We start from the raw sequence: 23,876 nt of genomic DNA, 5'->3' as shown, positions 1-23,876 counted from the left end.
CCCAGTCAGTCTGAGCAGGCTGGTTTGCAGGTCCGGAGCTTCTCCGAGCAGCATCTCCCGACTCCTGGTCCCCATTGGGTCACTGGAATCTCACTCCCCATGCACCAGGCCACGTCTTGATGTTTGATGGGCTGGGCTCCCGCTCTGGTTCTGCCCCAGGACTCCCTTCTGCATCCTGCCCCGTGGTGTCCTTGCCTATGCCCCTCTCATCGGTGCCACTGCCCTCCCGAATGCAGCCTGGGCGTCTCTGCTGTGAGCTCCCGTCACTGGGCTCTGCCCTCTGTGGACACACTGTGCCACTTCCCCTTCTATGTCACTGACCTGGACCCAGTCTGAAGGTTGCCCTCCTGTTAAAGAAACCCAGGACCTGACAGTAGGTAAAGTAGGAAAAGCACATTTTATTCAGGAAGTATTGCAAAGGGGGAAAGAGGCCTCAGTGCATATAGAACGGACTCAGTGGTTAATTCAACCAGAACGAGTGGGGATTTATAGCCATGGAGCAGGCTGGCAGTCGGGATGGAGGAAATTACTAAGAGAAAGCAGCAGGGGGAAGGAAAGCTTCTGGTTAAACAGGCTTAGGATTCTTGCTGAAGGCAGGCCAGGGTGGTCAGATGCGAAGGATGGGGGCCTCTCTCCACACTGACTTAGGAGGGACTTGCTAAAACTGGCTGATGCAGGCCCAACGATGACAGGCACAGAAGCCCAGGGTTGAGGCCCCGTTGAAAGAGAGCTTCGAGGAGCCTGACTTAAGTGCGGCCTCAGAGCGAGTCTTTGTCCTGGGAAGCGGGACCTTTTGCTGGCAAGCCAAGCGCCTGCCCTAGCTTGACCAGGGTGCGGAGCCCGCCCTCCCCTGCTGCTGTGCCTTGAGAATCAGGCAGATCCAGAACAGGACCAGGCCAGAAAATCCTGCGGCTGTGGGACGTGGGCAGGATGAGGCCTTGCTGTGAATGTCCCTGAGAAAAATGTGCCTCCCTCCCTTTCTAAAAAGGTTTCCTGCCGTGAAAATGACACCCAGGAAAATAGAACAGGAGAAGACCAGTCTCGGGAACCACACCTCCGGGAGCTCCTCTCAGCCCCTAGCCAGCGGCCCCTCTAGGCCCACAGTCCCTCCTGGACTGGAGCTGGGGTCGTTGTTCTCTCAAGGAAGCAGTGAGGAGTGTGGACAGGCCCAGGGAAGAAATGCCTGACTCTGTGCTTCGTGGGGAAGGCGGGGAAGACAGCAGGGATTGGAGCTGAGAACCAGAGGCCAGAGGACGCCCTGAGACAGGACTTCCTGAAAGAAGCCCTGGGACCCCCACTGCCAAGGGTCCAGGTGAGGAGGGGAGATGGGGTGGGGGCTGGGGCTTTCAAAGGATCAAGTTTTCACCACCCAGACTTTTTGGGATTCAGGAGGGGGGTGTTGGAGTGAACACTGGGCTTCAGCTTCTGTCCTAAAATACCTAAAATCAAAATAAACCCAGCCAGGCGTGGTGGCTCACACCTCTAATCCCAGCACTTTGGGAGGCCAAGGAGGGAGGATTGCTTGAGCCCAGGAGTTCAAGACCAGACTGGGCAAGATAGTGAGACCGCCCCCCACCCCCGCACCCCCATCTCTTCTACAAAAAAATAAAAATAAAAATTTGCTGGGTGTGGTGGCGCACGCCTGTAGTCCCAGCTACTCAGGAGGCTGAGGTAGGAGGATTGTTTGAGCCAGGAGGTCAAGGCTACAGTGGACCAAGATCACCCCACTGCACTCCAGCCTGGGTGGCAAAAGGGAGACCCTATCTCCAAAAAAAAAAACCTTACCCTGAAAATTTAATTTCCTTCTAACACATCATCCTGATCCCCAGGAGAGATTCATCATCCTTCTACTTGACTTTCTTCTGTTGAACTATCTAACCTGGTCTATTTCAACAAATACTATTTCTTGACAACCACTAACCTGGCTTGGGCTTTATTAGGCTAAAGAAATGCCTGCCTCCAGAATTAGATTCTATAAAGTTTTCTTTTGCAGACAGATAGTGGAAGTGCCCAAATTAATCATTTTAATTTCTCAGAAGGGAAGAAAAAATGCCATTTGATCCAACCACATAGGCAAAGTGCCTCGCACACAGTAGCTACTCGGTAAAGCTGAGTCACGGCTGTGGTTGGGACCAGGGAGGGTACCCTTCCCTTCACATGCAGTGTCCTGGGTTTCTCCCTCCTGACCCTTCTCATCAGGAGTCCCTGGAACTGAGGTCCCACGAGGCTTCAGGTGCCACAGCACGGGTGGCAGCTTCTGTCATGCCAGCCACAATCAGTGACCCCAGATAAGGTTGGCAGGGTGATCCCAAAGAGAACGGTGACTTCAGCCCCAGCACAGGGAGGCCGATGGCTGGGGACTGGGGGAAACTCCTGTGGACGGGGTTCCTGAGAATGGCCTGGAAAGAAAAAGCTAAAAAGGTGGAAGTCAGACAGAACACAGCTCATGCCACTTCAAATAGGAATTTGCCCACATCTAGGCCAGGCCCTGTCGCCTCTTGTCTCTCTCAGCAGTATTGGTGCCTGAAGGGATCCATTAAGGGATCCAGTGTGAAATTTTCTGGCTTGGCTCATAGACCGTCCTGTCTTTGGAATCAAAGAGCAGACACAGATCAATGCATAAGGTGAGGAGTCTTGAATTCTTAACTATTTCTTTCCTTAGTGAAAGAGAGTTGCACTGGCTAAGTGTACTGAGTTTAAAGCCTCTTGTTCCTTCTGCAAAATCTGCAGGCACAGCAGCCTGAGGCATCTGCCCCTAAGCCAGGGTCAGAGCTGGGGGCAGCAACAGGGGCTGGGGACCCGAGACAGCCCCTTGGGTTTCCCTTGCAGGTGCCAAGAACCAGCAAGTCTCCTGGGGATTGAGTGCCTTGTGGGGCACTTGGGCCTGTCCCATTGTCCTCCTCCAAGGAAACTTTTGGGGCACTCTGGCTCTCCAGGGCTGGGGACGGCTCTGCCCCATGTCACCAAGGCCCTCTGCAGGGTGTGGGTGTGGACACAGCTAGTAGCACGAGCCGTGGTCGGTCTGCAGTTCCACCTTTGCAGCTTTGCCCTTCCCTGTCTGCCAATCTGATCCCAATCCTGTCTGTGCCCATCCCAACCCCCTATACCTGAATTACATCAGCCTAGAATTCACCTGCTACTTCCATTCCTGCCTTCAAATTCTGACCTTTACCTGTCTGGCCAAGGAGTTTTGTCCCTCCTCGATGTGCTGTTGTTTAAATGCTCCCAAGGAAATGCCTACCCCAACCCCCAAAACAGGATCAGGGACCAGGGTTTTTTTTTTTTTGCTGCTTCCTTCTACCTTCACCTTCAGTGTTGCAGAGCACCCATAGCCCGCTGAACCAGGGGTTCCGTGCCATCTGCAATGCTGTGTATGTGCAAGAGGTGAGGCAGAGAACAGGGAAGCATACGTTCCCACTCCTAAAAATTCCCAGAGAAAAATACTTTCTGTGAGTGTCAAAACATGATGGGACTGTTCATGAAATCAGTCCGTGAAGTCAGCTGTGATCATGATGAAACATGAGCCATGGTTCTGTGGGTTCTGAAGCTATACAAATCACAAATTCTTCATCATGATAGAAACTGAAAACCTAACTTGTTCAACATATGTTTCTTGAATTGGATATCCAGACGCAAAAAAAAAAAAAAAAAAAAAAAAAGGAGGAGAAAGAAAAAATCTCAATCATAATCCAAGAATCTGATACCATATACAAAAATTAATTTAAAATGGATCATAGACCTAAATGTAAAACTGTAAAGCTCCTAGAAGAAACAGGAGAGAAAATATTTGAGGAGGTGGTAGGCTGGATGCTTTCCCAAAAATGCCTACCTCCTAGTTCCTGGAACCTATGAACATGTTATGTTACCTGGCAAGAGACTTTGCAGATGCAAGGAAAGAGACAGATCTTAAAACAGGGAGTGTATCCTGGGCTATCCAGGTGGGCCCCACCTAATCACATGACCCCTTAATAGCAGAGAACTTTCTCTAGCTGCAGCAGAAGGGAAAATTAGATATTCCAGTCATGAGAAGTTCTTTAAGAGTTTATGAGTCAGGATTGCCAGCTAGCAGAGTGAGGGCCTCATTTTCAAGGATCAGAGAGAGGCCCAGAGAGAGGATCAGAGAGAATTCCAAGGGCGACCCCAGTTGACCCCAGCAATGAAGCTGGCAGCTGAGCCCCACAACCTCAAGGAACTGGGTTCTGCCCACACCCTGAGTGAACACTGTAGTGGATTTTTCCCAAGCCTCTTGGTAAGAGCCCAGACAGCCGACACTTTGACTTTGGCCTGGTGAGACCCAGAGTACAGAAACCAGTCAAGGAGCTCAGACTTCTGACCTACAAAACTGTAAGATCATAAATTTGTGTTGTCTTATGCCACTAAGGTTGTGGTAGTTTTTCACAGCAGCAGTAGAAAAATAATAGAGACCCTGGGTTAGGCAAAGATTTCTTAGCTAGAACATAAAACACATAAACCATAAGAGAAAAAAAAAAGAATAAGCTGAACATCAAATTAAAACCTGATTTTTGGAAGATACTTTTAAGAAAGTTAAAAAAGAAACAAGAAAAGATGAGGACAATATTTAAAAACACATATCTCATGAAGGACTGGAATCCAGAATATATAAAGAAATCCTCAGCCAGGTGCGGCGACTCATGCCTGTAATCTCAGCACTTTGGGAGGCAGAGGTGGGCAGATCACCTGAGATCAGGAGTTCAAGACCAGTCTGGCCAACATGATGACACCCTGTCTCAACTAAAAATACAAAAAGTAGCTAGATGTGGTGGTAGGCACCTGTAATCCCAGCTACTCAGAAGGCTGAGGCAGGAGAATCGCTTGAACCCAGAAGGCAGAGGTTGCAGTGAGCCGAGATCAAGCCACTGCACTCCAGCCTGGGCAACAGAGCAAGACTCCATCTCAAAAAAAAAAAAAAAAAAAAAGAAAAAGAAAAAGAAAGAAAGAAAAACAAATCTTAGAACTCAATAGAGACAAAATATTCAATTTTTTTTAAGTGGGAAGGGAAGATGATTTGAACAGATACTTCATCAAAGAAGATATACAAATGGCAAATTAAACACATAAAAAGATGCTCAACATCACTAGTCATCAGGGAAATGCAAATGAAAGCCCTGATGAGATACTGTTACACACCTATTAGCATGGCTAAAATTAGAAAGACTGGCAATACTAAGAGCAGACAAGGAGGCAGAGCAACTGGAAATCTCATGCATGCAAAATGGAACAATCACATCGGAAAACAGTTTGGTAGTTTCTGACAGAATTACACTAATGTTTATCATTTGGCCCAGCAACCCCTTCCCAGGCACTGAAATAAAAACATAGGTCCACGCAAAGACCTGTACATGGATGATCATTGCAGCTTTATTTGTAATGGCCAAAAACTGGAAGGAACTCACACGCCGATCAGCAAGTAAATTGGTAAGTAAATTGTAGCACATCCATATAATGGAACATTACTCAGTAATAAAGAATGACAAGCTACTGATACATGCGGCAACAGGGATGAACTCCAAGAGCATTAGGCTAACTGAAAAAAGCCAGACTCAACAGGCCGGTAATGACATAATTTCATTTATATGATGTCCATTATATGACATTCTAGTGGAGGCAAAACTACAGGGACAAAACATGGATTGGTGGTTGCCAGGGATGGCACGGCAAAAGAGGAGTGACTGCCAAAGGGACTGAGGGAGCGTCTGGCACGATGGGACTGCCCTGGGTCTTGACTGTATTGGTGTCATGTGGTTCTACATTTGTCAAAACAAAACAAACCTACATTTTAAAAGAGTGGATTGGCCCAGTGCAGTGGCTCATGTCTAATTCCAGCACTTTGGGAGGCCGAGGCAGGTGGATCATGAGGTCAGGAGATCGAGACCATCCTGGCCAACATGGTGAAACCCCATCTCTACTAAAAATACAAAAATTAGCCGGGCATGGTGGCGGGCACTTGTAATCCCAGCTACTTGGGAGGCCGAGGCAGGAGAATCGCTTGAACCTGGGAAGCGGAAGTTGCAGTGAGCTGAGATCATGCCACTGCACTGCAGCCTGGCCACAGAGCAAGACCCCGTCTCAAAAAAAAAAAAAAAAAAAAGAGTGGATTTTACCGTATGTCAATTATACCTGAATATATCTGACTTCTATAAAAACTACATGATGATCCCCACTTCCACTAAAAATAAAACCCCCTATTTGGTCCCACCTGGCCCACATGATCCCCTAAATTGATCATTATTATTATTCACACTTTTCGAAGTAACACATGTGTTTTCTAGTCTTTTCCTGCAATTATCTTTTAGAGGAGGGCCCCTTGAAAGAAGAAGTTCCCAGGAGAGATCAGTGTATCATTATGAGCTTGAGCTCTTCCCCACTTTAAGCCAGTGTAATGATTTAGAATTAATTGCCTACTTTTCTTTCTGTCATCTGCGATTAATATTTTATTGCCAAAGTAAATGAGAATTGTTTTTAAAGGGACAGCACAGCCTATATTGACTCAGGGCATTTGTTTCTGTCTATTGTACTGGAAAGCCATGGTTGGATTCTCTGAAGCGAGGACACTCTGGCTATCATCCTTGGAAGTACTGACAGCAGAGACCACAGAAAATAAATTCATGCTCAGCCCAGACCTATTTTGGCTGCAGTCACTTTTCTTGGTGGAGAGGAGCCCTTCTCAGAAAGAGCAGGAAAAGCACCTGCTGGGCAGTGCTGCTGCAGATCCCATCCAGGTTCTCTATTTTTAATTTTTATTTTATTTATTTATTTCAGATGGAGTCTCATTCTGTCGCCCAGGCTGGAGTGTGGTGGTGCCATTTCAGCTCACTGCAACCTCCACCTTTCAGGTTCAAGCGATTCTCCTGCCTCAGCCTCCCGAGTAGTGCCCGCCACCACGCCTGGCTAATTTTTGTATTTTTAGTAGACGGGGTTTTGCCATGTTGGCCAGGCTGGTCTCAAACCCCTGACCTCAAGTGATCCACCCACCTCAGGTCCCAAAATGCTGGGATTACAGGCGCCCAGCCCCCATCCAGGTGCTCTAAACAGCTGAATAAAATCCAGGAACACCCTAGACTGAGGACTTCAGGATGCTGATGCGCTAATTAGCTATCAGACCAGGTGCACAAAATCGGAGCTCACCACCTTGTTTATTTTGCCAACTGCTAGGGGTAGAATAAATGAAACAAAGACCTACTGGCCAGATGCGTTGGCTCACCTGTAATCCCAGCACTTTGGGAAGCCAAGGTGGGAGGATCACTTGAGGCCAGGAGTTCAAGATCAGCCTGGGCAAAATAATGAGACCACTCCCCCTCCCCCCAACCCCGTCTCTAAAGGAAAAACTTAGCTGGGCATGGTGACATGCAACTGTAGTCCCAGCTAATCTGGAAGCTGAAGCAGGAGGATCCCTTGAGCTCAGGACTTCGAAGTTACAGTAGCTGTGATCTTATCTCTGCCCTCCAGGCTGGGCAATAGAGTAAGACTCTGTTTCAAAAGAAAAAGAGCTACTGACTCAGAAAGGCTGATAATCACAATGAGCTTTCAAAGGCTTTTCCAGAGGACTGTTTTTTCACTTTTTATCTTCTATGCTACCATATATCATTGCATCCAGGACACCATAGATCGTATAAGGCAGGAAAATAAGTTGCAAAGTAAACTATGCCACCATGCTTTTTCATTTCTTAGGAGTTGTACTGTATATTTATTGAAGCTTATTCGGACAGATGTTCATCCTATATCACCTTTGGTCACATTAAAATAGAGATGCAAAGAAAATGAGTTGGTTAGGGTGTTCCTTAAATTTGTTTCGTCCAACTTTTCTGAATCACATTTCAACTCAAAGTCATCAAATTTCATATTTTATCAGACTTTCTTGTCTTCTACAGTCAAGAGTTGGCAAACTTTTTCTGCAAGTTTCAGACTCTGCCGGGCCCTGTGCTCTCTGTGACAGCCACTCAACTCTGCCGCTGTGAGGCAAAGCCGGCCATACACAATACTGAAATGAATGGGCGTGGGTGTGTTCCAAAAACAATCTTTATGGACACAGAAATTTGAATTTTATATAATTTTCACGTCATGAACTATTATTCTTCTTTTGACTATTTTCAGCTATTTAAAAATGTATAAAACATTCTTACGGCCGGGCGCGGTGGCTCACGCCTGTAATCCCAGCACTTTGGGTGGCCGAGACGGGCGGATCACGAGGTCAGGAGATCGAGACCATCCTGGCTAACACGGTGAAACCCCGTCTCTATTAAAAATACAAAAATTAGCCGGGCATGGTGGCGCGCGCCTGTAGTCCCAGCTACACGGGAGGCTGAGGCAGGAGAATGGCGTGAACCCGGGAGGCGGAGCTTGCAGTGAGTCGAGATCGCGCCACTGCACTCCAGCATGGGCGACAGAGCGAAACTCCGTCTCAAAAAAAAAAAAAAAAAAAAAAAAAAAACATTCTTACTCGCAGGCTATACAAAACAAATGGTAGGCTGGATTTAACCTGTGGACCGTGGTTTGCCAGCCCCGACTGTATGCCACTGGGAGAATTGGTAATGCAGTGTATCTTTTATTTATTTATTTATTATTTATTTATTTATTTTGAGACGGAGTCTCGTTCTTGTTGCCCAGGCTGGAGTACAGTAGCACAATCTCGGCTCACTGCAACCTCTGCCTCCTGGGTTCAAGCGATTCTCCTGCCTCAGCCTCCTGAGTAGCTGGGATTACAGGTGCGTGTCACCACGCCCAGCTAATTTTTGTACTTTTAGTAGAGATGGGGTTTCGCCATGTTGGCCCGGCTGGTCTCGAACTCCTGACCTCACGTGATCCACCTGCCTCGGCCTCCCAAAGTGCTGGGATTACAGGTGTGAGCCACCGCGCCCAGCCAAGTGTATCTTTTAAAAAGATATACTGCAGTCTCCAGGATTCTCTTTGGGCCACTGACAGCTGTTTCTCACATTTGGTTGCAGGAGAATATTCATCAGGATAGAGTTAGTTATGCTGCAGTAACTATCCCCAAATCTCAGTGGCTTAAAACAAAGGTTTATTTCTCACTCATACGAGATCCCTGGTGGGTCAGGGCTACTTTCTAGGGCAGCCACCCCGTGTAACAGTTCAGCTTTAGTCCTCCATGTGAACACGTGCACCCTCAATATTGACAGGGGACCAGAATGTGGAAAATCACACACCACCTCTTACAGGCTTTCCTTCAAAAGTGACAGGTGTCACTTCCTATTTGCAAAACCAGTCACACGGACCAGTAGTTTAAAAATGTATCTACCCATCTTCAAAAGGTGGAGACTAATTCCCCTTCCCTTGCATGTGGGCCAGACCTACTGCCTCGCTACGACTATGGCAGACATTGAAATATGTGACCCGAGAGGCCAAATGCAAAAAGAATACCTTCAACTGGTGTGGGCCCACTTTCAGATGGTGCATTCTGGTGAAGGCCAGCCATCATGTCACAAGGACACTCGAGCAGCCCTTTGAGAGCACCAGATGAAGAGAAGCCTATGTGGAGAGGAACCAGTTGGCCAGTACCAACCCACTGGGTGTGTGAGTGGGTCCCTCAGAGTGGATCCTCCAGCCTCCATCAAGCCTCCAGGTGATCCCAGCCCCTCAGCCTTCCAGTCTTCCAGATGAGGCACCTCCCATATGTCTGTGTCCTGTCTGAATTCTCGATCCACAGAAACAGTGAGATAATAGGCCTCTAGGTTTGGAGGGTGATTTATTACACAGGAATAGACAATGAAAAAAGTACACATGGCTTCACCTAATCTCAAAAAGATAGGAGAAGTTCGAGTTTCCCATTGGCTTAAAGAAGGGACTAATTATTGGTAAATGTCTTGATCTTATTACAACAAGGTGTCAATGAGGAATTTTCAAACAAAAACCTGGACTCACATTCCTTCCTCTAATGGTTTGTAAATGGCTGCTGACTGAAACATCAGGGGATTGCTCTTGCCCTAAGATGCTCCCTGGAATAATGTCTGAGGTCATAGACGCACAGGCCATGGCACAGAAGCTGGACAGCACTTTTTAGTCTTTTTGAAAAACACATCTAGATTTTACATTTTACATTAAAATGTAAAAAGAATGAGCACCTGGGGATCCATGGAAATAATATATCACTGTCTCTCAGTCACATGCTCTCTTATTTTTGCCTGTGTTGTGGTTATTTGCCTTTAACTAGGAGATCTGTGGTGGTAGATATGGAGATAACGTGAGAACATGGGCAGAAAAAGTCCTTATATCCAAAGCAAAGCAAATGATTGACTGATGTTTCTGATTTTTAAAAAATTGTTAGTGCTACATAAACTGTAAGTATAATAATTACAACTAAGGTTCATCTGACCTTAACTCATGGAAATAGTCTAGATTCAATTGGCCCAGAATGGTCCTATAATTGTATATATGGACAGGAATATAAATTTCTCTATACACATACATATGCATATACACATAGCATCTATACTATACTTAGCTTTAGGTAACATGTATACCTATATATCACAACTAGAAATAAAATTTCCTTTCAAATTAGCCATTAACAGATTCTTAATGATGAATAGTGATCTTGTTAGTAGTTAACTGGTAACCTTTATATTGAAATAGCAAGACATACTAGTATGCAAGCAAGAAACAGCTTGATTCTTTTTCCTGGGGCCCATTCAAACCCTATTTTCAAATCCAACCTTTACCTCCCTAGGATGAAATCTTAGATGAGATCCCATAGTTTTGTCTAGTCACTTTTTCAAAAGACTGTGGAAAAAAAACGCAGCATAAAATGTACCATCTTAACCATTTTTAGGTGTATAGCTCAGTAGCGTTAAGTGCGTTTACATGGCTATGAAACAAATCTCCAGAACTTTTCCATCTTGAGAACTGAAGCTCTGTGCCCATTAAAGAACTATTCATTCTCCCTGCTCTCTCCAGCCCTGGCAGTTGCCATTTTATATTCAACTTCTATGAATTTGACTACTTTAAACACCTCTGATAAATGGAATCATACAGTATTCATCTTTTAGTGACTGGCTTATGTCACTTAGCATTATCGTCCTCAAAGCTCATCCATCTTGTAGCTTATGACATAATTTCCTTCCTTTTTAAGGTTAAACAATATTCCAGATTTTTTAAGGTTAAACAATATTCCATTGTGTGTATATAGATATTACATACTACAATATTACATATCATATCTTATTACATACTATATTACATATATTATAATATTGATATATATCATATATAAGATTACACATATTACATACATATATAATTACATATATAAGATATATATCAATTACATGTTACATATATTATATATAAGATATATATATCAATATTCTATTGTGTATATATATCAACATTCCATTGTGTATATATAAATATTCCATTGTGTATATATATATACACACACACACAACTTATAGTTTGTTTATACTATATCTTATAATATGTAATAAGATCAAGACATTTACCAATAATTTGTTCCTTCTTTAAGCCATTGGGAAATTACATATATATATATATATATATATATATATATATATATATATATATATATACAATGGAACACTGTTTAACCTTAAAAAGGAAGGAAATTATGTCATAATTTGGTGTATATATAGGAGATATATATATATATATATATATATATATCTCACTGCATTTATCCATTCATCCATGAGGCATGATGGACATTTGGGTTGCTTCCACCTCTTGACTATTGCGAATGATGCTACAATGAGTATGGACATACAAATATCTCTTCAAGCTCTGCTTTCAGTTCTTTCTGGATATATACCTAGAAGTGGGACTGCTGGATCATATGGTAATTTTATTTTTGATTTTTTGAGGAACCTTCATACTGTTTTCTATAGTGGTCATACTATTTTACAACTGCACCGGCAATCCACAAGTGTTCCAATTTCTCCATATACTCAGCAGCACTTGTTATTTTCTGTGTTTTGTTTTAATGGTGGCTGTCATAATGGATGTGAGGAGATAACTCATTATGGTTTTGAATTGCATTTTGCCTAGTTATTCTAAATAATAAAAGTCCTTTGGTCATTATCAGCTCCAAAGAACAATCTCATTTTAGTAAATATAATAGGCAGAATAACATCCCCCCACTCCCACAAAGCTTATGGCTGTGTTATATGGCTATGTTGTGCTGCATTACAAGAAGGAATTAAGGTTGCAGGTGGAATTAAGGTTTCTTGTCTGCTTCCCCTACCCACCTGTGACTCCTTCAGTGTTGGAACAGAGCTTGGAAGAACATGAAACGGGCAGGAAAGGCCATCCTTAACAAAGGCAGATGTAATATGACATTTGCATCTTCTGCGTAGGGCAGATTCCCAGCGGTGATTCTTTCTTTTCTATACCACACTGTGGGATCCTAGGTCTAAGTTATCCCCTTTGGACTCTTGGGAAATCCTTGTCTTTAGCCAGGTGCTTCTCACTCTATTTTCATCCTCTGCTACCAATAGTAACCTCCAGCCTCTTTCGGCTGAGGCCCCTTTCCTTTGGCATGAAGCCCTTTGGACAGGTCGTTTCCAATAACCCAAAGCCAGACCCTACTTGTAAGTCCTCTTGGCTCACAAGAACACTCTGACATCCTCTCCCCACCTCCACCAATGTGCAGTTTTCTCTCCACTGCATATATATGTGTTTGTATGGCCATCAGGCAGGTAGTTCCAGAAACAGACTTTGACCTTCTCAGAGGAGAAAAAAAAAGCTTAAAATCCATAAGCATGGCTGATTTTACAGTCTTGAACTTCTTCTAAACAATGGCCTGAATTCATTCAACATTTTCTTATGATGAGTATTATGAACTACTACTTTTCTATTCTTGCTTTTAAGATTTTGCCCAAGTTTATTCTTAAAGTAGTCAATATGTGTTTATATAGCATATCTACGTAGAAGCCAGAATTAGTTTCATGCAGAAATAATGTGTTTGCAGTTATAGTAAATAAAATATTCATAAGAACTTAGAAATTTTGAGATAATTCACATTTTATCCTTAAAGCAATTTATTCTTAGAGCTTTATGAAAGCTATATCTTCTCTGAACATTTGCCCAAACCTCCCACACTATCTGACTTTAAACTCACTATCATTGCACCATTCAATATGAGCAACGAACATTTTACAAGAACTCTCAACAATTGCAAGTAACTTTACCTACCACTTCCTCTCTTCCCTTCCCTTTTGTATCTTGCCCAGAGTTTAAGGTTCCCAGGGGTGCACAGGATTTTCACATCATGAAGTTAATTATTGCTGATATCATGAACTCTCATTTGTGACATAAATTATAACTCTAAATACCAGTTTAAACAACTTTCCAATCTAAATCTATGATATCAAAACCAAAATTATCTTACAAATGATAAATTCTCAATACTTTGCCTTTTGTAGATCATCTCTTAAGGAAAACACAGAAGAACTGTTAACATTGGTTGACTCTTAGAGAAGAGTGGGAGACCTGGGAAAATGGAGAGGAAAAGATTTTTTTTTTTTTTTTTTTTTACTAAATATCATTTTGAACCCTTTGACTTTTACACCACTTAGATTCCCAATTCAAAATTTTTTTAATTTTAAAATTGATAATTTGTATTTGAAAGTATGAAACTACCACTTAGCACTTAATGTTACAAGCAGAAGTCACCTTTGAGATCAGAAAATAGAGTTTTAATAGTTTTCTACGTTTTAAGGATAAATTAAATGACTTATATTAGATCTAGGACTTATATATAAGTTAAGCTTGGTAAATTTTTTTACTTTTTCTTTTACTTTCTGGGGAACAAAGATATCCTTTGCTCTTAGATGGCTTAATATTTCAACAGTTCCCTAGCAAGCAGACTCAGGAAAAAAAAAATGTTAACCAAAATAAAGAGAGAGCTTGGCTTTTATGGGGAAGGGGTTTGTAGAAAGGTATGTTTTATTGGTTGATGAATCCGTTTCTTAATCTGAGGGCCTACAGTCCACCAGGCCCCGTGTTGGGTCCCCTGGGGGACAAAGGTACTAAGACCTGATGCCTTCCCTGGAAAGATACTTGAGCAATGGAAAAGAAAAAGTGATGCTTTGTTTTCTCAAAGTTGGGGTTGGAGAGGGGCAAGACTTATAACACCTAGAGAGAAGCAAGAAAACTTGAAGTCAAAATGTAGTAGAAACCACTAGAGCCTGAAAACAAGGAAGGCCTGAGGACAGGAGAATGTAATCAAAACAATGGGTGAAAAAGGCTTTCTTCCATGATCCAGGTGTCCACACCCAAAGCACAGTGGAGAATCGAGGCCTGAATCTCCCACGCAATTGGCCCAACTCTCAACAGTGAGGAAATGATCACCTTGGGCCAAGTAGTGTACAAGACAAATGTTAAAGGGAAGGCCCCGACCTCCTAGGTTTATGTAAGGCCATTGTAAGCCTCAGCTTTTTCTCATTTTAAAATCAGAAATAATCATACCTATATATAAAATTGTTGTGAGGATGTGACATATTGTTTATAAAATAGCTCGCATCATGTTAGGGTTGCCGTTGTTGCTCAATAAATGCTATCTGTTGTTTTTGCTGCTGTTGTTGCCTGTAGGTAAAATTAAATGCAGTAAAGGCAGATCCTATGGATTGGCTCATTCAATCTTCATTTTACCCTCCTTTTGTGGTAACTTCCAGCATTGCCAAATCTATGAAACTCAGAACTACATTTCCAAGACTTCTTTACTTTTAGAGTTCTGGATGCCACTTAGGTTCTACCAGTTAGAAGCAATGATGTAAGATTTGGAAGATGGAAGGGAGTGGAGGCCGTCTCCCTCTCACTATTTCTTCTGGCAAGCAAATTCACAAAGGCATGAGTGTCAAGGGGCAGGAGGAGCTGTGGTGGTGGCAGCTGCTTAACCTCCAGATCATGCTGGTTGCAGTGGTTTACTCTTGACATCAATCAGGCATGGGGTTTGGGGTCCCAATTTCACTCCTTCAGCTTTCTAGGGACTTTGTCAGCATCTGATTCCTGTATTAGGTCCTTTCTGCTTAAAATACCTAGGGTGATGATTCTTATTGCTAGAACTGAATCCTGACTGATTCAGAAATGGATGCTTTCTCTAAAGAAATGCCACACATAAACTTCTGTGAAAGAATATATTTCATGCTGCTGCCTCAAACTTGCTTAAAGTTATTAGTGGATTTCCATGTTTAAACCAGGTCAGTGTTCTTATTGATGCCATTCTCTTTGAAAACTGTGAATATAACACAACTAAAGTTCTCTGGCATCCTGAACAGTTAACTCTGTATTTGTATGTCATGCTGAAAAACAGAGTATATGTTTGTGGTGACCATAACCCATCCACTGTCTTTCTTTATACTTTACTTGGTTGAAACCAAACTGATCCTTGAAATAATTTTGCCTCCTGATACTCATTCTTCCTTCCTTAGTATTAAGAATCCCAATTTTTGGCTGAGGACACAGCTAACCAGCTAAAATTTATTTCTTTTCTCCATGTAAGCTAGATGTATTGTCTGTTCTTACACTGCTATAAAGAACTACTTGAGACTGGGTAATTTATGAAGAAAAGAGGTTTAATTGATTCCCAGTTCCACAGGCTGTACATGAAGCATGGCTGGGAGGCCTCAGGAAACTTACACTCATGGTGGAAGGGCGAAGGGGAAGCAAGCACCTTCTGCACATGCTGGCAGAAGACAGAGAGAGCAAAGGGGGAAGTGCCACACACCTTCAAACAACCAGATCTCATGAGAATCCACTCACTATCATGAGAACAGCAAGGGGGAAATCTGCCTCCAATGATCCAATCACCTCCCACCAGGTTCTTCCCCCAACATTGGGGACTGCAATGCAACATATGAGATTTGGGTGGGGACACAGAGCCAAACCATATAATTCTACCCCTGGCTCCTCCCAGATCTCATGTCCTCCTTACATTTCAAAACACCATCATGCCTTCCTAACAGTCCTCCAAAGTCTTAACTAATTCCAGCATTAACTCAAAGTCCAATTCCAAAGTTTTATCTGAGATAAGGCAAGTCCCTTTCACATATGAGCCTGTAAAATCAAAAACAAGTTAGTTACTTCCAAGATACAATGGCGGTACAGGCATTGGGTAAATGCTTCTATTCCAAAAGGGAGAAGTTGGGCAAAACAAAGGGGCTACAGGTCCCATGCAAGTCCAAAACCCAGCAGGGCAGTCTTTAAATCTTAAAGCTCCAAAATAATCTCCTTTAACTTAATGTCTCACATCCAGGACACAATGATGCAAGGGGTGGGCTCCCAAGGCCTTAGGAACTTCTAGCCCTGTGGCTCTGCAGCCCCTTAGCTGCTTTCATAGGGTGGCATTGAGTGCCTGTGGCACTCAACTTGTAGGTGCACAGTACAAGGTGTCGGTGGATCTGCCATTCTGAGGTCTGAAGGATGGTGGCCCTCTTTTCACAGCTCCACTAGGCAGTGCCCCAGTGAGGACTCTGTGTGGGGGTTCCAACCCCACATTTCCCCTCTGCACTGCCCTAGTAGAGGTTCTCTGTGAGGGCTCTGCCCCTGCAGCAGACTTATGTCTGGACATCCAGGCATTTCCATACATCATCTGAAACCTAGGCAGAGGTTCCCAAACCTCACCTCTTGACTTTGGCACACCTGCAGGCCCAACACGACGTGGAAGCCACCAAGACCTAGGGATTGCACCCTCTGAAGCCATGGCCCAAGCTGTACTTTGGCCCCCTTTAGTCATGGCTGGAGCTGAAGCAGCTGGGATACAGGGCATCATGTCCCGAGGCTGCACAGAGTAGCATGGCCCTGAGCCTGGCCCACGAAACCATTTTTCCCTCATAGGCCTCCAGGACTGCAATGCAAGGGGCTGCCACAAAGGTCTCAGAAATGTCCTGGAGGCATTTTTCCCATTGTCTTGGCTATTAACATTTCTTTACTTATGCAAATTTCTGCAGCCTTGAATTCCTCCACAGAAAAAGAGTTTTTTTTTTTCCTACCACATGGTCGGGCTGCAAATTTTCCAAACTTTTATGCTCTGCTTCCCTTTTAAATATAAGTTCCAATTTCAGACCATGTCCTTCTTCACAAATATGAGGGTACACTTTTAGAAATAGCCAGGTCACATCTTAAACACTTTGCTGCTTAGAAATTTCTTGCGCCAGATGCCCTAAATCATCTCTCTCAAGTACAAAGTTCCACAGATCTTTAGAGCAGGGGCACAATGCCACGAGTCTCCTTGCTAAAGGACAGCAAGAATGACCTTTACTCCAGTTCCCAATAAGTTCTTCATCTCCATCTGAGACCACTCAGCCTGGATTTCACTGCCCATATCACTATCAGCATTTTGGTCACAACCACTCAACAAGTCTCTAGGAAGTTCCAAACTTTCCCTCATCTTCCTGTCTTCTGAGCCCTCCAAACTGTTCCAATCTCTGCCTGTTACCTAGTTCTAAAGTTGCTTCCACATTTTCCGGTATCTTTATAGCAATGCCCTACTTTCCTGGCACCAACTTTCTGTATTAGTCCATTCTCACACTGCTATAAAGAACTGCCTGATATTGGGTAATTAGTAAAGAGGTTTAATTGACTCACAGTTCAGCATGGCTGGGGAAGCCTCAGGAAACTTACAATCATGGCGGACGCGTAAAGAGGAAGCAAGAATCTTCTTTACCTGGTGGCAGGAGAGAGAGAATGTGAAGGGGGGAGTGCCATACACCTTCAAACAACCAGATCTCAATAGAAGTCATTCACTATCACAAAAACAGCAAGGGGGAAATCCACCACCACGATCCAATCACCTCCCACCAGGTCCCTCCCCAAACATTGGGAATTATGATTCAACATGAGATTTGGGTGGGGACACAGAGCCAAACCATATTACTAGGCATACCCATGTGACTAAATGTTGACCAATTTGACATAAGAAAAAGTAAGTATTTTGTGTAACTTCTAGGAAGTGTCTACAGAAGAAAGGTGCCGACCCTTCTTTGCTCCTTCCTGCTTTCTGTTGGAGTGTGCCTGTGATGATAGGCACACTAACAGCCATCTTGAGTCATGAGGTGGCACAGTAATCATGGCACAACAGAAGAGAATGAGCTTGTTGACTGTGGAGTGGCCACACAGGCCTGGATTATGTACCTCCAGGTTTGTTTTACATAAGAAAAAAAAAACGGCTGGGCACTGTGGCTCACATCTGTAATCCCAACATTTTAGGAGGCTGAAGTGGGAGGATCACTTTAGCCCAAGAGTTTAAGACCAGCCTGGACAACATAGTGAGACCCTGTTCCTACAAAAAAAAATTTATTTTTAATTAGCCAGGTATGGTGGCATGTGCCTGTAAGCCCAGCTACTTGGGGGGCTGAGTCTGGAGGATCACTTGAGGCTGGGAGGTCAAGGCTGCAGTGAGCTGTGATTGCACCACCGCACTCAGGTCTAGGTGACAGAGCCAGACCCTGTCTTAAAGAAAAAGAAAAAAAAATCTATCTCTAACTTTTGGAAGCCACTGTTATTTTGTTGCTGTATTTTTATTATATGCAGCTGAATCCACCCTTAATTAGTATAATGGGAAAAGCCAAACTTCTTCCCTTCACATTAACCATGGACTATTTCTCAGTTTCTAAAAACAAGTATATTCCCAAGACCTGCCTAACTGCTCATACACGGTAGAGCACACTGCTAAAAACACTGGCCTGGGTTTAAAGTTAAAGACATTAAAAGGATTTCACTGAAGCCAATTCAGTGTACACAGTAGTCAAGTTTGTAAGCCAAACAAATAACTTTGACTTACTCATATTTCTTTCAAAATCAAATGAAGGCACCAATTTTAGGTTGAGTGAAAGACAGGTCCTCAGCCTTAGCTGATGAGACCATTAGGACTAGAGTTATTGATTCAAATGGCTGAGTTTTTTTTCTAAACTAGCCCTCTGCTGTTGACAGTGTGACCACACCATAGCTGACAACACATCCAATGGTGTAATCTGCTTTGCAGCTCTTTATTCCAGAGCCCATAGATCAGAGGATTAAAACACTGGGAAAATGCAAAAATGCCAAAACCCACCAGATTTAAAGCAAAGAAAAATACCCCACACACTTTCCCCAAACCTATGAATATCAGATTCTGGGTGTTATTTATATTAATATTTCAGAGGAGGGACATATACACAAATTATCCACACACATGCAAAGGTTTGAAAGATATACTCTTTGTACTTAGAAAATTGCTCAAATTCAGGTCAAGGTTTTACCGCTTATGCATCCTTTTCTAGTATCTAGGAAGATACTGGGATCTCAGGGTTGCTGAGGGAATGGGACCACCAAAATGACAAGCTGTGCATGGTAACTTCATAAAGTTTTCTCAAGTGTGCACAGCAATGCCACTGTGTGGCAGCCTGGGAGAACACCCAAATTATAGCATCATTGTTGTTGCCATGATAGTCTATGATGCAGATACTGACTGTTGCCTGCCCCTCCCCACCTGTACCCCATCCAAAGTGATGTACCCTGTAAGCCTTTGCTGCCTTGCTCCTTCATCCTCAACTACAGCATCACCTTCTCCCCCAGCAAAGTTGATTGGCATCTGACTCACTGCAAGTCATTCACTAGACTGCACTGAGTCAGAATATGTCTCTCAAAAACCCAACACAAGGTACACAAAGAATGTAGTCTCAGAGTAATGTCATGCAATTAGCCTGCCAGTCATGTTGTGAGCAGAAGACACAGAGGGAGGTAGGAGAGAAGCAGAGAGAAGTGAGACTATGAGGCCTCTGAGTGTCCACAAAGGCCCTTGCAAGAAGACAAAACAACCTTTGCTCCTGAATTTCCAGTTCCACTGAGATGCCCTGCAATTTCTGTCCTCGGATTCTGAAAATATGATACACCCCTCTATTATTTGAACTATCTTAAATGAGTTTCTATTCCTTCACTCTGTCCTGTAGACTTCAAAGTATAAAAAATGGGCCCTGAAGAGGCACAATAAATTATATTGATTTCCTAAAGGGCATATCACAATGGAGATACAACTATTTTAACTTCCTGAGAATCTGAAATGTCATAACTCTTTATGAAATCCCTCACTGAAGGCATAATTTTCCCCCCTGGGTATTGTGTTGTCCTCTTTTTGAGGAAAACTTTCTTTTTTCTGATGGATTTTTGGTGCCATTGTCTTGTTTTTGAACTCCAGGCATTTATTTTCTCTTCTCTCCAGCTCTTCAGAGAGGAACTGAATTGTAATGGTCATTGTCATTGTGAAAGTCATCATCTTTGAACTGCAGGTGTCTTTTAAGGTCAGACTTTTTGATCAAGATCTAACACAAAAACCTCTTAATATTAAGCAGGAAAATGCATATCTGCTCCCATCAAGTCCTTTTTCCTGAATCGCTCACTGTCAGAGCACACCCTGAAACCGTCTTGGCACCACCATAGAAACTGAGAGCCCTAATGAAGACTGTATGAAAATCCTGGTAAGTTAGAACCAATGCTCCGCCCCTGGACTAGGCGGATCACATGAATGTGGCTTGAAGCCTAGATTTGCTGCTAACAAGGACTGTGACTTTGGATATTGAAGTCGCTTTGCTTCTGTGGTCCTTGGAGCTGTGCAGCATCACCAGGCTCCACATCTGTTCTATTTCTACAGTCATCCTCACTCACATCCTCAAAGCCAACTCTGAACTTGGGCCCAGAGCATCTGCGCTTTTACTTTATTCCTGAGAACAAGATCACCCCTGCCCCAACCCCAAAACACCCTCATGATATTTCTCCATGCCTGAGCCTTTTCTTGCTGATCTGAATAGAAGCCCTGGCTCTCTAGGACAGAGCCTGCCTTGTCCTGCAATGTCCCCTCCCCGGACCTGAAACCCAGCCGACCCCGAGATACATGGAGGTGGCTGCCAGCAGAGTCCACAATAGTGCTGGTCTCCCTGTCTGCTTAGGCCTCTTAACACACAATCCTGGGCTCACTGTTGCCAGGGTTGGCCCAGCTGATGGGTGATAGTCCCCATTATTTGGTCTTGCTCCTCACCCCCATTCTGCCCAGAATCCCAGTCATCTTTTGAAGCATCCCTGCTGGATTTTTCATTTCTGCTCAAAAAGACTCCCTGTACCTGCATGGGGGCTCACCACCTGCCCCCCACACCTGCCCCATTCCATTTGTCAGAACCCTCAGGGCCATGGGTTGGGCTTTGCCTAGCTGTGTTCCAAGACCCAAAACCCTCCATAGGGCATGCAGTGGCTGTCATTGTGTTTCTGTTACAATAAAAATTTTAAAGCTATTCTTTTTTCCCCTTGAATTACTGCAGATGCAACTATAATAAAGGCTAAGTCCCGAAAACCCCCTCCCTCTGGATCTGAAATGGTTTCAGGCAACTATTTATTGCTGGGACCAGCAGGGACTGGTTCCTTTAGTGTTCTAATATGCTTAACACATTAATCCACATGGCACATTGTTTCATCATTGCACTCAACGAACCTTCATTGAGCATTGAAACATACAATGCATAATCCTAAGCAGTGAGGTTATAAGGTAGTAAAACAGTCACTGAGCCCGGGCACAGTGGCTCACACCTGTAATCCCAGCACTTTGGGAGGCCAAAGCAGGCAGATCACTTGAGCCCAGGAGTTTGAGACCAGCCTGAGAAACATTGCAAAGCTCTGTCTCTACGAAAAATAGAAAAATTAGCCAGCTATAGTGGTGCACACGTGTAGTCCCAGCTACTGAGAAGGCTGAGGCAGGAGGATCACGTGAGCCTAGGGAAGTTGAGGCTGCAGTGAGCCATGATTGCACCACTGCACCCCAGCCTGGGCAACAGAGTGAGATCCTGTGTGGAAAAAAAAAAAAAGTTGCTGACATACTGAAGCTTACTGTCCAGTGGAAGATGCAGAATATGATATAGATAACCAAAAACATCATGTATAGTTTTACCCACTTACCAAAAGAATAAGAAAGTCAAGTGTGCTATGGGAGAGTTGTTCAGAAATAAAAGGAATCAGATCACCATGGTCTGATACAGTCAGAGAAGACATCCTGGAGGAGGTGAGGCTTGAATCAGGCCTTTCGTGGATAAAAACCAGAGCAAAGCAGGGTCAGGCGTGAGTTGGGGAGGGAAAAGGAGCCACGCAGATTCCAGGCAAAGGAAAACTGTGAGAGCCCAAGTGAAACCAAACTTGGTATGTTCAGGAGACAATGAGTATATATCTGGGTTTTGTGAGAGTAAGGACTTGTTTAGAGCACTAGGGACGGACTAAGGCCAGGACCAGATCTGGAGGACCTTGATACTATTCCAAGGGTGAAAATCCATTTTGTAAGCAGTAAAGAGACTTGCACAATTAAAATTAGTAGCAGCACATGCCACAGGTTAAGAGCCAGCATGAGATGCCCACCTGTGCATAGTGGCATTTGAAACGAGCTCTGTCTGCAGAGCAGGCAGCCCAGCAAAGGAGAAATTTGCACAGTGAGGACAATACTACCACAGAAAGTGGCTCAGAATACTTTTTGTACACGTGGTATCTCCAGGAGGGTTGGATATCTGCAAAATCGTTGAGGCCTGGTTTTATTGCCTTTAATTTATGTATAAGACCTCAGGAAGATTAGTAATTTATTCAGTATCATACATGCAGAAAGAATCTCCCAGTCTCCAAATTCACATTTCCTCTCAGAAGCATATTTGCATAGATCAAGAGCTTGTGGCAACCAAACTTATGTAATTAGCTCCCATCTATACATGTTTACTCCACTTAGCCACATTCTTAGAGCCTTCTTCTTCTGAAATTCTAAAATGGGAAACACCTGCTTCCTTCTGGCCCAAAATGTTACTTTGGTTTCAGCTTTGAAATAAGACCTGGAGCCAAGAGACTTCAGCAAAAAATTACATTATATCCACAAGTACCCTGACAAAATAAAAGGCAGCCACTGCCATTCTCTGCAAAAGTCCTGCAGGAAGCAGATGGGTGTTAAGGACTGGCCCAGATTTATACACGAACAATGAAGCCTGAGAGATCTCCTTGTAAGAGCCCTGTGGACAACATGCTGTCCTCCAAGAGAAACTGAATATACAAACAAATATGACCAGACCACATATAAAAATAGAACTCTGACTCACAACCTGCAGCACCCAGCCCAGGAAACCAACCCTTTATCTCCAGTAACCACCTAGGAAGCCAGCCTGATGTAAGTCAGACTTGCAGGAGTCAGACTGCTATCTCTAGTAACAATCCAGGAAGCAAACAATAGCCCCTGTAATAACCCACCCCCAAGGGCCAGGACTTGATTAATAACTGACAGCTTTCCTAAATCCAAATTTCCAACTTAGGACCAGTCAGAGAGAGCTAAATATGCTCCCCTAACCTATCACATAGGATGTCCTGTTTCTACTTAACTGCCCACAGCTTCCCCACGTTAACAGCCTCCAATCAAGGCACACCTGAAGCCTTCCCTTTTTTCCATTATGAAGCTTCCTCACTCTGCCTGCCTTTGGGTCTCTGCCAAAATCCAAGCTCTGAATACATAGCCTTTGCTTGTTCTCATCTGGTTGGTCTTTATTTCTACATCAGTATGAAAAGATGGCTCTGGTGGCTCTGCAACAGTACATGCACCTTGAGTCATTTCTCCAGGAGGCTGATGAATCTGTGTGCTGAGCCCTTCATAGCCATTGGATGTCAACCATCACTTATGTGGGGACTCCTGGCCTGGTGCCTTAAAGAGTGGGCTCTCTAGTTGAACTGTCTGGTCTAAATTCTAGAGCCACTATCATGACGTCTCTGAAAGAGACTCCTCTCTGTCCTGTGCACCTCCAGGCCAGCAGCAGAGACGTGTCAGGGAGTTTGGGCAGAGTGAGACAGCTTCCTTCCATGGAGGGCAATTGCCACCTTGGTGTCATGGAGAACTTCTGCCAGGGCAGTGC

The 23,876-nt window shown here is 43.8% G+C and overlaps 1 long non-coding RNA gene across 1 annotated transcript in view, besides 1 other annotated feature; it reads right to left on the bottom strand.

Annotated features, from left to right (window-relative positions):
- Positions 1 to 15,545: 15,545 nt before the first annotated feature.
- LOC107985995 (uncharacterized) overlaps positions 15,546 to 23,876 on the bottom strand; it is a 75,437-nt gene continuing 67,106 nt past the window's right edge. Inside the window, exon 6 of the long non-coding RNA XR_001739918.2 lies at positions 15,546 to 17,653. This is a non-coding gene — a long non-coding RNA (uncharacterized LOC107985995). The remainder of the gene's footprint in view (positions 17,654 to 23,876) is intronic.
- Positions 16,517 to 17,045: an enhancer, noted in NCBI's record as "H3K27ac hESC enhancer chr2:231005392-231005920 (GRCh37/hg19 assembly coordinates)". NCBI's record gives its function as "activates a minimal SCP1, AML or CMV promoter by ChIP-STARR-seq in primed H9 embryonic stem cells {active_cell/tissue: H9 hESC(primed)}" and the evidence as "EXISTENCE:reporter gene assay evidence [ECO:0000049][PMID:30033119]".

The sequence above is a fragment of the Homo sapiens genome, chromosome 2 (assembly GCF_000001405.40).
Source record: "Homo sapiens chromosome 2, GRCh38.p14 Primary Assembly".
Lineage (NCBI taxonomy): Eukaryota > Metazoa > Chordata > Mammalia > Primates > Hominidae > Homo > Homo sapiens.
The sequence above is the reverse complement of the archived record's forward strand: the minus strand, read 5'-3'. Positions and strand labels throughout refer to the sequence as shown.